The sequence below is a fragment of the Homo sapiens genome, chromosome 17 (genome assembly GCF_000001405.40).
Source record: "Homo sapiens chromosome 17, GRCh38.p14 Primary Assembly".
Taxonomy (NCBI): Eukaryota; Metazoa; Chordata; class Mammalia; order Primates; family Hominidae; genus Homo; species Homo sapiens.
Genome location: NC_000017.11, coordinates 20,915,429 through 20,934,746, shown reverse-complemented (window position 1 = coordinate 20,934,746; position 19,318 = coordinate 20,915,429). Strand labels below are relative to the sequence as shown.

At 37.5% G+C, this 19,318-nt stretch overlaps 1 long non-coding RNA gene across 2 annotated transcripts in view; it reads right to left on the bottom strand.

Moving 5' to 3' along the window:
- Positions 1-4,705: 4,705 nt before the first annotated feature.
- The window catches only part of CCDC144NL-AS1 (CCDC144NL antisense RNA 1), a 61,515-nt gene continuing 46,902 nt past the window's right edge, over positions 4,706-19,318 (bottom strand). Inside the window, exons 1-3 of one of the 2 annotated variants that reach the window (NR_160711.1) lie at positions 13,578-13,719; positions 9,914-10,388; positions 4,706-5,316 (exon numbers count right to left, since the gene is read on the bottom strand). This is a non-coding gene — a long non-coding RNA (CCDC144NL antisense RNA 1). Of the gene's footprint in view, positions 5,317-9,913; positions 10,389-13,577; positions 13,720-19,318 lie in introns of those variants that run through there. The other variant, NR_160710.1, reaches the window with a different exon arrangement.

The window sequence follows — 19,318 nt, the reverse complement described above, 5'->3', positions numbered from 1 at the left end:
TTGTGTTGTGTCCCACTGCTCTCCTGAATAAAATGCTCAATTGTAACATACTCCAGTTTTCTTTTTTCCCCCTGTGGATCATGCTTTTTGTGTTCTGTTTTAAAAATGTGTGCCACCTCTAAAGACTATGATGTGATTTCCTGTGTTTTTCTGTATAACATTTATTGTTTTGCTGTTCACATTTAGATCTATGCAACTGGGATAAATTTTTAATTGTGGTGTAAGGTAAGGGCTACAACACTGTTTTTCCAAACTGATAGTCAATGACTCAGCAAAATTTTTTAAAAGTTAAGCTTTTTCTGTAAACTGCAGTGCCACATATGTCATAAATCAAGTTTTCTCTACTTTTGAATCTTTTTCTAGACTCCATTTTATTCCATTGATGGTTTTTCTACCCTGTGCTTATTGCCTGACTTACTGTAAATTAATAACACATTCCATATCTGATAGTTTAGGTCCTCCAGGTTTATTCTTTGCATTTCTTTTTATTAATTGTTGATACACAGAAATATAACTGAGTTTTGCACGTATAGGTATTTTTATACAAATGATTTTGTATACTGTATCCGGAGACCTTTCTAAATGGATTAGATGTGAGCTTTTACTTACTATGGTGGTTGAAATCTTATCTAATGTTCTATTAATATTTTTTGATTTAAATGTACATTTCAGTGCTACTTAGCTTCCATCTTGTGAGTGGCCATGTTGGAAAGCCTCGGGGTATCTAAGAACCTCATAAACAATGGTGATTAGCATGGCTGGGATGAAATTTTGGCTCTCATGTTACCCACAGGAATCAAAGGGAAATATTGAAGGTGGCCTAAGACTCTGTTGATAGTAGCTCTACAGAGTCGATTCCTCTGTTTATCCAGAAGGACAACACGGACACAGTATCCCAGAGGTTAATGGGATGAAAGCTGCCTAGCAGACATCTAGCAAACCCAGTTCTTGCTGAGCCCTGACCAAGTCCTTGATTTTGTGTGCTCCACTTCCCTAAACGCTTGCCTCTGATGAAGTATTAGAAATCAGCATCAATGTATTCCAAGTTGGTGTTGGCCCATTTCCTTTACCAATTAGCAAACACACAGGAACTCACATAAGTCCAAGCCAACATCTCTCATTTACTACTTCTGTTTATTTCTTGGCCTGGTCACAAATCCATTAACATAAAAAATATGAGATTTATTTATTCATTTGTTCATATTTCACACAGTTCCTCATAAAATAAATCACATTTCAAAAAGGAAATGTGGCCAGGTGTGGTGACTTCATGCCTGTAATCCCAGCACTTTGGGAGGCCAAGGCAGGTGGATCAGTTGAGGTCAGGCATTCAAGACCAGCCTGGCCAACATGGTGAAACCCCGTGTCTACTCATGCACATGTATGTTTATTGCGGCACTATTCACAATAGCAAAGACTTGGAACCAACCCAAATGTCCAACAATGATAGACTGGATTAAGAAAATGTGGCACATATACACCATGGAATACCATGCAGCCATAAAAAAGGATGAGTTCATGTCCTTTGTAGGGACATGGATGAAGCTGGAAACCACCATTCTCAGCAAACTATCGCAAGGACAAAAAACCAAACACCACATGTTCTCACTCACAGGTGGGAATTGAACAATGAGAACACATGGACACAGGAAGGGGAACATCACACACTGGGGACTGTTGTGGGGTGGTGGGAGTGGGGAGGGATAGCATTAGGAGATATACCTAATGCTAAATGACGAGTTAATGGGTGCAGCACACCAACATGGCACATATATACATATGTAACAAATCTGCACGTTGCGCACATGTACCCTAAAACTTAAAGTATAATAATAATAAAATTTAAAAAAAAAAACCATGTCTACTGAAAAAAATACAAAAAAAAATTAGCTGGGCATGGTTGCACATACCTGTAAACCCAGCTACTTGGGGGGCTGAGGCAGGAGAATTGCTTGAATCCGGGAGACAGAGGTTGCAATGAGCCGAGATCACCCCACTGCAATGCAGTCTGGGCGACAAGAGTGAGACCCTGCCTCAAAAACAAAGGAAATGTGTTTCACATTTCATAACAAAAATGAGATTTTTAATTGTGTAAAAAATATTGTTAATTGACATATGACTTAAATGAAAATAATTGTTTTTTACTTCTTGGAAAAACCTACATGTTCCTGAGGATTTCATAGTGAATAGATTGTAAATCCCTTATTAATGTCAAGTATGCATTTATTTTTAAGAAAGTGTTCCATATTCTGTCTCTCCCAGGTTCAAAACCTGAAGGGGTATGGTGAGGTTGTAGAGTAGAAGACCAAGTAATTTTTATCAGGGCCCTAAATCAGAGGAGATTTGAGACTATCTTTTCTGTATACAGACTGTGGAGAATACAGATCTCTTAGAGAAACCCGTGTCTAGCAAGGGCTGGAACCACAGAGGTCCAAAAGCCAGGCTAATGGAGGGTCTTGAAGCCTGGTGGAGACACAGCCAAGAATTCTTGAGCCACCTAGAGAGCACGTCAATGCTGGAAGGGTGGTAAATTCTCAGTGTCCTACATCTAGACAAGGCAACTGCATAGAGGACATATGCTATGGTTTGAATGCGTCTCCCAAAGGTCATGTGTTAAATACTTAATTCCTAATGGAACAGTGTTGAGAGATGCAGCCAAGTAAGATGTGATTGGGTCATGTGGGCTCTGCCCTCATGAATGGATGAATGTTGCTATAGCAGGAATGGGTTAGTTATCTTGAGAGTGAGTTTGTTATAAAACTGAGTTCTTCCCCTTCTTGCTCTCTGGCATTCTCTTGCACTTTTGCCTTCTGCCATGGAATGACACAGCAGGAGGGTTCTCACAAGATGCCAGCACCTGGGGTGGACTCCCCAGCCTCCAGAACTGTAAGAAATAAAACTTCACTCTTTGTAAATTACACAGTCTAAAGTATTCTATTAGAGCAACATAAAATGAAAGAACTCAACATAAATACCGAATGGAAGCTGTGTCAGAGCAGCCAACATCAGAAGTGGATTCTAGCACAAACACTTAGTGTTGCAGGGTGCAAATTCTTTCACAGTGAGCACCAGAAGAGGACAGAGGGCTGTTAGAAACCTTCCAAATTAGAACCTGGGTGATGTAAAAATTCTCCTTATACTTCAACTTCAATTTCTGTGAAGGACAGAAAAAGAAAGTCAGAGAGAGTAAAAGCCATGCAGTTTACTATTTGCCCAAGGAGACTAAATCGAGAACCATATAAAAATAAGTAACCTAAAATTAGCAAGGTAATTGGGGGCCAATAGGTATGCTAATTTATAGAGAATAACTGGAATAATTGAAAAATTCAATAGAAAAATTTTAGAGCAGTTTTAGGTTTACCGAGAGAAACTGCACAGAAAGTCCAGTTCCCATACATCTTCCCTCCTCCCAACACAGTTTCTGCTCTTACTAGCATCTGGCGTTCGTGTGGTATATTTGCTACCATTAATAAACCAATATGGACTTTTAACTAAAGTCCTGTCTCTACAAATAAATGAAGTCCAGAGTTTACATTTACAACATTCTGTTTGGGGCTTATAGGTTTTGATAAAAGTGTAATGTTACATATCCACTGTTAGAGTACCATACACAATAGTTTCGCTGCCCTAAAAGTGTGCTGTACTCCATTTATTTAATTCCTCACCCATTTCCCTGAACCCCCTAAAGGCCTTTGATACTTTTATTGTCTCTATAGTTTTGGCTTTTCCAGAATGTCATATAGTTGGAATCATACAGTGCATAGCTTTTTCAGACTGGCCTCTTTCACTTAGCAATATGCAATTAAGTTTAGAGCATTACAAAACTTTTTTAAATATAAAGATTCTATAATATGAGCTTTTTAGAGTATTTGAATGATGTCATTGTCAGAGGAAAGTAGAGGCTGAGAATAGGGTAGATCATTAAATTTACATGTGTAGTATGTTTATTACATATATTAAGTATATAAATGTTAGATATTTGTATAGTATATATGTATATAGTTCTAATATATACCTTTGGAAGAAGTGGTTATTTTTAGGTCAGAGGGAAGAACTGTTACTGAACATATTAATTACAGAGATAAACACACTGAAGCCAGAAGATTACATGACTCGTCCAAATTCACACAGTAAGTAAATGCAGAGATGGAAATGGCAGGAGACCGAGATTCTTGTCACTTACCCAAGAATTCTTGTGTTTGAACCATACTCATCACCATCTGTGCTATTTCAGTAGGTTCTGGTTGGAGAAAACGTTACAGAGGCCACAAACCTCATCCATATACTCAATTCATTAGGCCTTGCTAGTTTCACACACACTAAAAAGATTAAAAATATGTCTGTTTGTTTAAGTCAAAGTCATCAGAAATGACAATCTGGGTTGTGTGTGATTCAGCTCTGGTTGCTGATGGAGTCTTTTGGGCAGTATTAGTGGTGGGAGAGAAGACCTGACATACCAGAGGCCTCTGTACCCTGCGATCATGACTGGCAGGAGGCAGCCATGTGATCCACATTCCAATTTAAAGTATGTTTCTTTCCCTACTGCCAACTGTTCTAATTGTGAATGCTTCCTACGCTCTACCCATCCCCCTTTATTTTACTACAATATCCCCCTTTATCAGCAATTTTGTTTTCTATCATTTCAGTTACCCATGGTACACTACAATAAGATATTTTGAGAGAGATCACATTCAGATAACTTTCATTAGGTTGTACTAATTGTTCTATTTTATTATGAGTTATTGTTTTTAATCTCCTGTGCCTAGTTTATACACTCACTTTATGATAGGTAAGGATGTACAGGAAAAATCATAGGATACATAGAGTTTGTTATTATCTGTGGTTTCAAGCATCCTCTGGGGGTCTTGGGATACATCCTCCATGGATATGGGGAAACTACTATATATAAAAAGTCGGTAAAATGACAAATAGAGAAGAAAAGCAGACATCATTTTACATATGCTGAAGAAGGCTAATCACGAGTTCAATCCATCCTTCATTGCTCAGGTCCTTCACTCACAGGATTTGAGTCTACAGGTGATGCCAATGTTTTTATTATTTTACGTCTTTCTTCCCTGTGTAGCCAAATGTTGGCACTTTCTATGCCTCCTTTTTTGTCTCTCCACTTCTAAAGCCAATCACCAATTCCAGGTTTCTGCAAGTCTGGCCATCCTTTTTCTCCAGCGCACATGGTCTGTTTCCTCTTGGCCACGTACTGCCTCTTCCATCTGGAATACTTCACTCCCCTCCATTTCGTTTATTCAACTTCGTCCTATTTATTATGTTCCTAAGCTGAATGAAGGTCTGTTGTTTTTGCTGAAATTATGGAGATGAGACAAATTAGTAAAAATGTTTTATTCAAAATTTATTTGGTGGAAGAGATACAATAAGAAATGAACCAAAAAAGCAATAAAAAGAGACAAAGAGAAAAAGTAAAATAAGTTGTATAATTTATTAGAAGGCAATAAGTGCTTTGGAGGGAAACAAATCACAGAGGAGACAGAAGCTCCTGCTGGGCTGGTAAACTTGGTACACCTTTAAGTAGGATATTGAAGGAAGACTTCACTGTGAAGTTAACATTTGAGAGAAGATGTAAATGATATGAGGAGTGAGTTGTAGAAATACCCGCAAGAGTCTGTTACAGGTGAAGGAGGATACAGCACAAACCTCCTATAGCTGAGAAGGAAACTTCAAGGAGGCCAGCATAACTTCAGTGGAGAAAGCAAAGTGGAAAAGCAGCAGGAGAAATAGTCAGAAAGGTACTGAGCACTGAATCATAATGCACTTTGCAGGCCATTTTAACGATTCTAGTCTTCAGATGAAATATGATTAAGAGCCATGGGAAGGTTGTGAGCAGAGGAGTAATGTGATTCAATGTGTATCTTTAAAGGAACATTCTGGCCGCTGGACTGAGTGCAAGCATTAATGGGAGGCAAAAAAGCAAACGCAGTAGGGTCATTTGGAGTCAATTGCTATAATCCAGTCAAAGATTGTGCTAGCTCCGGCCGGGTAAGTATCAGGGACGGGGATAAGTTTAGATTCAAATTATTAATCAAAATTATAATTAAAACCAAATTAATAGTGCATGTATACATGCACAGTTGAAATATAAAAAGTAAAATAGAATCGAGTCTGATCCAATTAGTATATTTATTTGAAATAACTTACCTTCACTTATGATGACCATATTAAATGTCTCCAGTACAAGAATACAGGGAAAAAGCTAGGCCAATAACTACGTCAGATGAGAACAGTTCAATTTAATTGGCAGTTCAGGTTAACTATGTAAAGTGAAGATGGTCATTATGTGCTTTCACAGAATCATCGGGTTGTCTGAACAAGGTAACACATCTCTTTGTCAGTCTATTTGTTGCTGCTTAGAGGCATTAAGGTTTCTGGGATAAGTTATGGAGTCTAAGTGAGAGTGAAGTTTATTGCATAAGCAATTGTAAGGTGGAAAAAAAGTTTCTAAAAGTTCAGGTGAGAGGAAAATGGTGCCATTGTGGATTAATGAGGTGGCAGCTCACAGCCCTTCTTTCTCACATCCATCTGCATTTTGGTCACCACAGTTCCTTTAATGTTTATTAAATTGTGTATGTGTATTTTTCATCTTGACAACAAATAACACACTCACACTAGAAAGCTAAGTCACAGATGTAATATTCAACAAAAAAATGAAGGCATAATTTTAAGAAAAGGGAGACAAATATTAGTGCAACACAATCATGTCTGGCAAAAATAAACGCTTGATATAAAATGACCTTTAAGGGCATATATTAGGGTTCTCCAGAGAAATGAGTGATGCAGATGATATAGATTAGATATAAATATAGATACACACAATCATGTGAGCCAGTCCCTTAAAAGCCTAAAAGACCGCAGGGTAGGCCGGCGGGCTGAAGACCCAGGAAACAGTTGCTGTTTGAGTCCGAAGCAGTCTGCTGGCACAATCCCTTCCTGCTTGGGAGAATTCTGTCCTCATTCTGACAAAACTTTCAGCTGATTGGATGAGGCACACCCACAGAATGGAAGGTCATCTGCTTTACACAGAGTCTACCAATTTAAATGTTAATTTCATCCAAAAAACATTCACAGAAAAATCTAGAATAATGTTTGACCAAGTATCTGGGCGCTGGGCCCACACAAGTTAATACGTTAAAATTAATTATCACAGGCATAAGGCTTGTGAAATCTTCATATGCAGATAGTAAAGAAAATACTATCCTTTGTATAAGGCATGTCCTTTGTGGCAAAGTGAAAGAGGCACCATTATTCATGGGTGGGAAAGTCGTGCATTTCATCTAGTCATCTGCTCTAACTACATTAACACTATTTCTTTTTATTAAATGTCTTGGAAAAAAAGATTTTTTGTATTTATACTCAAGCTTCAAATACAATATCATTAGCCAGAAAATACTAAATGTATGTAAGGCTTATATAAAATTTAAAGAATAATTGTGAAACTAAAGTAATCCAGAGGGATATATAAAGGTATTTTCGAAGCCTAAAACCCAAGAATCAGAAAATAGAATACAGGAAGAATTAAAAGAAAAATGAGAAAAGGAGCTGAGAAAAATTTTAAAAATAGGACATTTATAGCAATGAGTTATTGTGATGCATGACAGAAATTATCAACTAATTGTAAAGATGTCACAGACAGTAAAATATAAATGAAAAAGAAGCAATTACTTGTATACCACTAAATAACACAGGAAGCTTGCCAGATAGGAATGCCAAATGTATAGAAAATGAAATAAAAATTAAAATGTGGTCTTGTAGAAATGAATATAACCTAGAAATCAAAAGACAAGGTAAAAAAGTAAAATGATAAAATTATAGAAGAAGGTGAAACATTTGAGAAAGACAAGCATTTACCTAATTAAAAGACAAATGAATAGTCTATCATATTTTGGTCATGTTTTCATAAGTTATTTTTAATGAAATATTTCTCCTGAAAAGGACCAGAGTTATTTTTTGACCGTTTGCATAGTGTGTATGACATCAGGAATGCAGCAGAGTATCGAAAAAAAAATGTTTACTTGAGTTGAAAATATGAACCACAAATATTTCAGGGAAGTGGCATGGAAAGTGAATGAATGGTCTACATAAAGCCAGAGCCATTTCAATGAAAAAACAAAACTGTCTTGCTGCCAGCTGGGTTAGATATAGAAATCACAAGCAGAGAAGTTTAACATGGCAATGTTAAAGCCTACTTAGAACGCTATGGAGTGATTGGCACATAGTAAGTTATTGAAAAATTTTTATTGATAGCCATTCACAAAGGAGTCAACGCAAAATGTATCATTTATATATCTTCAGTGGCCTTCACTATAAAGCATTGAAATAAAAACTAACAATAAATTATCTTATTTGATGAGATATTTATATGAAATATTTATAAAAGGATAATAGAAAAATAGAATTGATATTCTTATAAAACTCAAACACTGAAGAAGATAATCTAGTGAATAAATAATAACCAGGGCCACTATATTTTAAAAAAGAAAATAACAAATGTCAAGGAGGTGGAGAAATTGAAACCCCTGTACACTGTTGGAAGAGATTTAAAGTGGTGCAGATGCTATGCAAAACAGTATGTCAGTTCCTCAAACCTTAAAAGCAGAATTACTGTATAATCCAGCAATTCCACTTCTGGACACATACCGAGTAAAACTGAAAATAGGGTCTAAAAGAGATAGTTTTATACCCACGTTCAAACAGCATTGTTCACAATAGCCAAAAAGTAGAAGCAACCTAGGTGTCCATCAATGAATGACTGTATAAGCAAAATGTGATATACGTCTTGGCATACAATGAAATCTTATTCATCCTCAAAATGGAAGGAATTCTGATGCGTGCTACAGCATGGATGAACCTTGACTACATTGTGAAATGTAGCCATTTACAAAAGGCAAATACTGTATAATGTTATTTATATGTAGCATCTTGCATGGGCAAACTCCTAGAAACAGAAAGTGGAATGATACTACAGGGTTACTAGGGGGTGGGGCAGGGGAAATTGGGAGTTGTTTAATGGGGACAGAGTTTCATTTTTGCAAGATGAAAAAGTTGTGGAAATTGGATTTACAACAATATGAATATACTAAATACTGAACTGTATACTTAAAAATGGTTAAGAGGGTAAAAATTATATGTTCATTTGTGATAAAATTAAATCTATTTAACAATAAAATAGAAACAAATGAATCAATACATCTGTCTACATATTAATTCATTGTGGGGCTCCTGAAATATAAATTATTTGTTATTCTTATGAGACCCAAAACCAGGTAAAATGGATTATGTATACATATAATTATAAATGTTGTATATACATATCATTGTAAGTTTTGTATATACATATCATTGTAAGTTTTGTATATACATATCATTGTAAGTTTTGTATATACATATCATTGTAAGTTTTGCACTAATGTCGCAACAGTCAATGTGTGAGTCAGGCTTAGAGTCTTTGTATGATTCTAGATCTTCTGTGCTCCATATCAGTGCTTTTGTTGTGGACCTTTTCTTTTGTGATTTCGTCACTGTTGTTGTTGGTTCTGTGTTTGGATTTTTTTTTTGAAAAAGCGAAAATAACTCTCTTTATTAAGGTAATGATTATTCATGGTTAATATATTTGATAATTTCAAAGAACTGGAAAACTTCTCTTTTTAAAACTCAGAAAAAAATCCATTTCCAGGTACAAATATTTCCTATTCACTCCGTGACAGCAACTCAGTGAAACTTTAATCAGAGGATGATGGCTTTGCCTAGCACACATCTTCTGAAAACTATTTAAACTAAGCATAAATGTTTTGATTTGCAACACTTTGTAATTTGGATCATATCTCTGATATAGCAGAAATTTTTAATGCCTTCCCCAAACCGATTGCCCATTTACTTGGAAATTTACCTTTTTTTCTGTTGAAGCCTCTGTACTCTTCCTGTGGTGATGTAAATCATAACTCCATGCTGGATCACAGAGTGTGGGGCACTCAGTCCTATAAATGCCATCACAATCAATCCCTGTGCTCGGAGATGGGAACATAAACTCATCCGGACCAGGAGGTGCATGAAGATTATGGGAAAGAAGATTCTGTTGATGTTTTGGTTTTTCTTCCTTGCATCTTTGAAATGATTTATTGTTCACTTTTGCACACACTCGTCGTGAGGACAGGGCAGGTCCAGCCTGGGGCCTGCTCCCTGCTGCAGCATTTCCAAGCCCCCAGAGTGGAGGGAGGGGAGGACATGGGCACGTCTTTCCATCTGTTGATGTTTTGAGAGAGCTTCAGGAACTGACGTTTTTTCCTTTTCATTGTATGTAGACTAGAAAGCAAATACCTAATGTCTTCTGGGGAGCACTTTGATAACTTTGCAAGGGAAACTATCTGAAAACAAGAAACCAAGTGTGACTTAATAGAAACAAACCAGGTATTATGATTTTATTAACACACTGAAATACACTAGTCCTGAAACCTATACTTTGACTTTTGTTAGTAAGTCATATCCCTCTATTGGTTGGCAAATTTAAGCTGGATCTTCTTTTACTTGCAACTTAAATTAGCACAATTACTATATTGATAAATCCTGACCTATATGATGTGTGTAGAACATCTTCAAAATTAAGGAAGCCCATTCTTATGATGGGGACAAGGTCAAAGTGACCCAACCTATAACCAAAAGAAATTGATCTTCCTTAACTCCAATGTGCAGAGTACATCAGAAATGTGTTATCAAAATAGTCTTCAATATCTAATGCAAAATACCTTAGTACAAATACATTTTTATTCAGATGTTATTCAAGCTTTGTTTATATTTGTATAAAGATTACTTTTCAAACCAAAAAGTTATGTAATTGTTGACACTGAATAAAATATTTTAAATTCTTAACAGTTCTGAATATCTATTATTTTTATGTGTCAACTCTAAACAATAATAGCACTAGCATAAAAGTGTCAAAATTTAAGGATGAGTTTATTATTAAAATATTAAGTAAAAGTCTTATATTTTATGAGAACTGATATTTTCTCTTTCACATATAATGTGGTTACATAATTTATTATTCTTCTAATAGCTCAAAAAGCAAACCAATAATCACATTTTCATGGACCTAAGTCATTTTCATTTGTGTGATTCAGAGACCTAGGAATACAGTTATCAGATACAATTTCCAGATATAAATAAAGATATACATAAAGATAAAAAGTCACACAAGACATGATACTATAAGGAAAAATCAAGAGAAATAATTCACAAAAGAAATATTCTCAAAAAGTGTTCACATTTTAGATCTTGAGGCTTAGATGATTAAGCAAATATGATTTTGTTCTAAGAAATAAAAGCCACATGGACACAGGGAGGGGAAGATTACACACCAGGGCTTGTCAGGTGGCTGGGGGGCAAGGGGAGGGAGAGCATTAGGACAAATACCTAATGCATGCAGGGCTTAAAACCTAGATGATGGGTTGACAGGTGCATCAAGCCACTATGGCACATGTACACCTATGTAACAAATCTGCACGTTCAGCACAGGTATCCCAGAACTTAAAGTAAAATTTAAAGAAAGAAAAAAGAAATAAAAGCCAAGATAGTAAAATTTGATCAGGAAACTGGTTACTTAAAAAATAGAAGAAAATAACATAAAAACTTGAAAATGAATAGAGTATAATTTTTACAACTGAAAACTTTAAAACTGAAATTGTTCCTTTTTCAATTATTGAATGGGAGTGATTTCAGATCTTATTTAAATGAACGAAAAAATTAACAGACCTGAAGAAAGGTCATAAGAAAATATACAGAAAGCAGCCTAAAAATGAAAACACAGAAGAGAAGGTAGAAACTTTGGGAATACATTGAGATAGCCTAACATGTATTTAATTGGTGTCACTGGGGGAGGTGAGAAAGTGACACAAAAGTAACATTTGAAGAAAAATAGTTCAGAAATGTTTGATTTTCCAGAATCAATAAAATATCAAACAAAGATTTGATAAGGTCAACACATCTCAAGCAGGATAAATAAAATAAAATATCCACTCTGAAAAATCATAATCTTACTAGAGAAAACCAAGATGCTATGCAGCAGCTGCCTGGCCTAGGAAACCAAAGCCACACCCTTCCTTTGCAAGTTGGGGAGGGACAGTCCTGATGTCCTCCCTGGGCCTCTGGGGAGGGTGCAGCCCTGATGACCACTGAGTCATCTTCATGGTCATTCTCTTTTCTTGAATGATTTTCTTGAATGATACAGCATTCAAGAAAATGTTTGCAGCCTAACAGCTTTACTGTCCTGTCCTGTAGTATCCAAGAAGTTTGACAGTCTTCCTTTATGCCATCCCACTTTTTAATTCCTCTTTAGTTCAAACTAGCTCTATCTCTGTGGATATAATCCATCTCCATTCTTGGCTTTTCCTGAGATGGCTGATTAAATCCATGAGTCACTCCCATGATCTCCACCATATGGCTGTTCTGCCACAACTTTTGTTTTCTGTTCAGAACTTGTTTCTTTTCTTTTCTTTCTTTTCCTTTCTTTTCTCATTTGCTTTCTTTTCTCTTTTCCATTCTTTTCTTTTCTTTTCTTTTTGAGACGGAGTTTCACTCTTGTTGCCCAGGCTGGAGTGCAATGGCTCAATCTTGGCTCACCACAACCTCCGCCTCCCAGGTTCAAGCGATTCTCCTGCCTCAGCCTCCCGAGTAGCTGGGATTACAGGCATGCACCACCAGCCCGGCTAATTTTGTATATTTAGTAGAGAGATGGGGTTTCTCCATGTTGGTCAGGCTGGTCTTGAACTCCCAACCTCAGGTGATCCGCCCACCTCAGCTTCCCAAAGTGCTGGGATTATGTGCGTGAGCTACTGCACCCGGCTGAACATTTGTCTTATGTTTTGCAATATAGGTAGGCTGAGGATTTTCCAGATGTTCAAGCTGTGGTTCTTTTTTTTGAGACAGAGTCTTGCTCCATCACCCAGGCTGGAGTGTAGTGGTGCCATCTCGGCTCACTGCAGCCTCCTCCTCCCAGATGCAAGTGATTCTTATGCCTCAGCCTCCCCAGTAGCTGGGACTACAGGTGCATGACATCACGCCTAGCTATTTTTTTGTATTTTTACAAAAATAGTAGAGGTAGGTTTTCACTAAGCTGGTCTCGAACTCCTGACCTCAAGTGATCTGCCCTCCTCAGCCTCCCAAAGTGCTGGCATTACAGGAGTGAACCACTGCACCTGGCCTGTGATTCCTTTTTGTTTAAGTATTATTTTAATGTATCTCTTTTGCATTTTACTACAAGTGGTAAAGGGAAACCACGCCACTCATTCATCACTTTGCTTAGAAATCTCCTCAGCAAAATATACAATTTCATCACTTGCAAGTTCTACCTTTCACAAAATATTAGAACGTGATACATCCAAGTTATTTGCCACTTTATAACAACGATCACTTTTCCTTCTGTTTCTAATAAGCTGCATCTCATTTCCATATGAGACCTCACCAGAATAGCCTCCAGCTTTCATAATTTTACCAACATTCTATTCATGATGATATAGGCATTTTCAAAGCCAATAGATATATGCTTTTGAAAAACAGCTCACCTCTTTTCTTTCTGAAGCAGCACCATAACTGAATTGGAGGGGGATACAATCCAGTCCATAACAGTTACTGGTCACTATGATTCCATGATTCCCAGACTCCTTAACAAAAACGCTTTTTTAAAGAAGTCTTTCTCTCTCAATCAACAATAACTAATCCAGTGCCTGCTGTGTATGAGACATTACATTAGGTCTTAGGAATGCAAAGAGACAACATCCCTATCCACAACAACTCCAAATATAGTGAAATCACAGTCTATCCTGAAATGAATGCTGTGCTATTCTATCTTCCTAATTATGAGTGAACTTCAAACATTTAAAAGGCAATAAAGCTGTTGAAGTGAATAACATCAAATTAGAGAACATAGCCAATCATCTGTTGGTGAGCCAGCAAATATTGCATTTGCTTTAGTGCTCAATAAAGTTTTTCTAATACATTATATTTTACAGCAATTTTAGATTCATAGCAAAATTGGGCAGAAAGTACAGAGTCCCCATAGACCTTCTGCCCCAACACAGACACAACACTTCCCACTATCAACATTTCACACCAGAGTGGTACACTACCACCAGAGCAGTTCATACAATCTATGAACCTACATGGACACATAGTCACCAACCAAAGCCCACAGGTTACATTAGGATTCACTCTTGGTGTTGTACATTTTATGTGTTAGGAGAAATGTAAAACGACATGTATTCACCATTATATTATCTTAAAGAATAGCTCCATTGTCCTAAAAATCCTCTGTGTTCTGCCTATTCATCCCCCCAACCCCACCCCTAACTCCTGGCAACCACTGTACTGTCTCCATAATTTTGCCTTTTCTGGAATGTCATATAGTTGAAATCATACACTACGTAACTCTGGAGATTGGCTTTTTTTCACTTAGTAATATGCATTTAAGTCTCCTCCATATCTTTTCACGGCTTGATAGCTCATTCATTTTTAGCACTGGATAATATTCCATTGTCTGTATGTAACATAGTTTATTTCTCTATGGACCTACTGAAGGACATCTTGGCAGCTTCCATGTTTTGACAATTATGAATAAGGCTGTTCTAAATATCTAAGTGTGGTTTTTGTGTGCATAAATTTTCAGCTCACTGGGGTAGATATCAAGGAGTGTGAATGCTGGATTTTATGATTTTGTTCCACCAGCAACGAATGTGATTTTCTGCCATTCAACATCATAGCCAGAATTTGGTATTATCAGTGTCACCTGTAGGTCTGATGCTTTTGTGTACTTCTTATGGCATGACATGGGCATAACAAGAAGCCAGCATGGGGGCAGCAGCCTCTAAAACTTTTCCCAACACCCCTGGAGCCTGAAAAAAAACCGCCCCCAGCTTTCACATCCAAACATGATTTATTATGTCAAGACACACAGCCTTATGTCCTTGAAAGGAAAGTTCATTACATTTACTTTCAAGGAGAAGGAAAGAGTTGGGAAAAGAGAGGTGGGTTATCACTGGTTGTCTTTCACATTTGATGATCTTTTTCAGGGAGAACTCTGTTCACTGAAGGTGCATCTCACGTGGTATTAGAAGCAACTATGGCAAAAGCAGGATGTATAAAGAAGAGCTCTATCTTGGCAATGCGGGCTCTTTTTTGGTTCCTTACGAACTTTAAAGTAGTTTTCTCCAATTCTGTGAAGAAAGTCATTGGTAGTTTGATGGGGATGGCATTGAATCTATAAATTACCTTGGGCAGTATGGCCATTTTCATGATATTGATCCTTCCTATCCATGAGCATGGAATGTTCTTCCATTTGTTTGTGTCCTCTTTTATTTTGTTGAGCAGTGGTTTGTAGTTCTCCTTGAAGAGGTCCTTCACATTCCTTGTAAGTTGAATTCCTAGGTATTTTATTCTCTTTGAAGCAATTTTGAATGGGAGTTCATTCATGATTTTGCTCTCTGTTTGTCTGTTATTGGTGTATAAGAATGCTTGTGATTTTTGCACATCGATTTTGTATCCTGAGACTTTGCTGAAGTTGCTTATCAGCTTAAGGAGATTTTGGGCTGAGACGATGGGGTTTTCTAAATATACAATCATGTCATCTGCAAACAGGGACAATTTGACTTCCTCCTTTCCTAATTGAATACCCTTTATTTCTTTCTCCTGCCTGATTGCCCAGGCCAGAACTTCCAACACTATGCTGAATAGGAGTGGTGAGAGAGGGCATCCCTGTCTTGTGCCAGTTTTCAAAGGGAATGCTTCCAGTTTTTGCTCATTTAGTATGATATTGGCTGTAATCCTAAGCCAAAAGAACAAACCTAGAGGCATCACGCTACCTGACTTCAAACTATTCTACAAGGCTACAGTAACCAAAACAGCATGGTACTGGTACCAAAACAGAGATGTAGACCAATGGAACAGAACAGAGCCCTCAGAAATAATACCACACATCTACAACTATCTGATCTTTGACAAACCTGACAAAAACAAGAAATGGGGAAAGGATTCCCTATTTAATAAATGGCGCTAGGAAAACTGGCTAGCCATATGTAGAAAGCTGAAACTGGATCCTTTCCTTACACCTTAGACAAAAATTAATTCAAGATGGATTAAAGACTTAAATGTTATACCTAAAACCATAAAAACCCTAGAAGAAAACCTGGTCAATACCATTCAGGACATAGGCATGGGCAAAGACTTCATGTCTAAAACACCAAAAGCAATGGCAACAGAAGCCAAAATTGACAAATGGGATCTAATTAAACTAAAAAGCTTCTGCACAGCAAAAGAAACTATGATCAGAGTGAACAGGCAACCTACAGAATGGGAAAAAATTTTTGCAATCTACTCATCTGACAAAGGGCTAATATCCAGAACCTACAAAGAACTCAATCAAATTTACAATAAAAAAACAAACAACCCCATCAAAAAGTGGGCGAAGGATATGAACAGACACTTCTCAAAAGGAGACATTTATGCAGCCAACAGACACATGAAAAAATGCTCATCATCACTGGCCATCAGAGAAATGCAAATCAAAACCATAATGAGATACCATCTCACACCATTTAGAATGGCGATCATTAAAAAGTCAGGAAACAACAGGTGCTGGAGAGGATATGGAGAAATAGGAACACTTTTACACCGTTGGTGGGACTGTAAACTAGTTTAACCATTGTGGAAGACAGTGTGGCAATTCCTCGAGGATCTAGAACTAGAAATACCATTTGACCCAGCCATCCCATTACTGGGTATATACCCAAAGGATTATCAATCATGCTGCTATAAAGACACACGCACACCTATGTTTATTGCGGCACTATTCACAATAGCAAAGACTAGGAACCAACCCAAATGTCCATCAATGATAGATAGACTGGATTAAGAAAATGTGGCACCTATACACCATGGAATACTATGCAGCCATAAAAAAGGATGAGTTCCTGTCCTTTGTAGGGACATGGATGGAGCTGGAAACCATCATTCTCAGCAAACTATCGCAAGGACAAAAAAACCAAACACCGCATGTTCTCACTCATAGGTGGGAATTGCACAATGAGAACACATGGACACAGGAAGGGGAATATCACACACCGCGGCCTGTCATGGGGTGGGGGGAGGGGGGAGGGATAGCATTAGGAAATATACCTAATGTAAATGACAAGTTAATGGGTGCAGCACACCAACATGGCACATGTATGCATATCTAACAAACCTGCACGTTGTGCACATGTACCCTAGAACTTAAAGTATAATAATAATAATAAAAAAAGAAGAGCTCTATCAAACCCTGTCCAGCCTATGTATTGCAAGTAACAGTATTTGTTTAAACAATGTAGTATCTGGAACAAAGACTCTACTAGATGTGATACATGGGTAGCAGAAATAAACGAGGTCTGTTCCATGTAAACCAGGACTTTTCCTTTCTTTCTTTTTTTTTTTTTTTTTTTTTTGAGACAGAGTCTCGCACTGTCACCCAGGCTGGAGTGCAGTGGTGCAATCTCGGCTCACTGCAACCTCCGCTTCCCGGGTTCAAGCAGTTCTCCCACCTCAGCCTCCTAAGTAGCTGGGAGTAGTAGGTGCATGCCACCACACCCAGCTAATTTTTGTATTTTTAGTAGAGATGGGGTTTCACCATGTTGGCCAGGGTGGTCTCAATTTCCTGACCTCCTGATCTTCCCGCCTCGGCCTCCCAAAGTGCTGGGATTACAGGTGTGAGCCACCACAGCCAGCCAGACCAGGGCTTTTCATTGTAAATCAGGACATGCAATTGGACATACAATTCTCTAATTAATACGTAGAGTGTGGTGTGTATGCAACTACAAGAGGAAGCTGGTTGGAAAAGGCCACTGGAAGAGGTGACATTTCAACACACGGATAGATATTTACAGTCAGAGGGCAAAGAAAGCACAGCAGATCTAATCTAGGAATTAAAGTCTGCCCAAGCAAAAGAAAGGTCATTTAAGACAGAAGCATTAAGGGGTTGAGTGATAGGCAGTGAGGCAAGCAGAGATGAGATTATACGCAAATTAGGCTGAGCCCGTTTTAGTAAGAAACAAAAAATTGGGACATGGCCACATCAATTTAGGCAGGCATGCTATAACCTGCAGCACATAGAACATTTACTGTGCAGCTCTTTAGAGAAAAAGTTGGCCAACCTATGACATACAGCGTAAGACAAACCTGCAAAACAATGAACTCTTATAATCAGAATAAAATGAAAGTGAAACCGAACATCTTGATAAAATGGCATACTGTACTTCTAAAATGTATTTCCTAAATGATACAACAGGATATTAATACCTTAAGGAAGATAATTTAATGGGTATGTCTAGCAATATAACTATGGTGTTTGTCAAACTAGATGATAAATACAAGTGAAACATTCCAGTGTATTCATTTAGTGAGAATTCAGATTCTTACCTGTGGAAATTTTAGTTATGATGGTTGCTGAGTGAATGAGTGAAAACTATTTAATGTGCTTCCTACCTGATAGTCAAGAAACAGGCAACACTGGGCATGGTGGTGCACACCTGTAATACCAGCTACTCGGGAGGCTTAAGCTCAGAAGTTTGAGACAAGTCTGGGCAGCATTGAAATACCTCATCTTTTAAAGAAAAACCAAAAACTTAAAAGACATTAGTAACATAAACAATGTATTGAGATTTTTTAAAGCATAGTATTTCTTAAATGTTTTTCTTGCTATATTTCTATTTATTTAAAATGCATGCATATGAAATAATAATAGGCAGTAGGTATAGTTTTAATACATATACTTAAAATCTTGCCACTATTAACATAAAAATACTTGTGAAATGGCCAGGCACGGTGGCTCGAGCCTGTCATCCCAGCACTCTGGGAGTCTAAGGCATGTGGATCACCTGAGGTCAGGAGTTTGAGACCAGCCTGGCCAACATGGAGAAACCCCGTCTCTACTAAAAATACAAAAATTAGCCGGATGTGGTGGCACGCACCTGTAATCCCAGCTACTCAGGTGGCTGAGGTAGGAGAATCCCTTGAACCCAGGAGGCAGAGGTTGAAGTGAGTTGAGATCAGGCCACTGCACTCCAGCCTAGGAGACAGAGAAAGACTCCATCTCAAAAACAAAACAAAACAAAAACTTGTGAAATAAAATTAAAATATATATTGAATCAATTTATTTTTGAATTTTAATTATTTCAGAATAAACATTTTTCATAGAGGATAATTAATGAGTACACTTGAAGCTATTGAAATTTAACATTGTGGCCGGGAACGGTGGCTCCAGCCTGGGTAACAAGAGTGA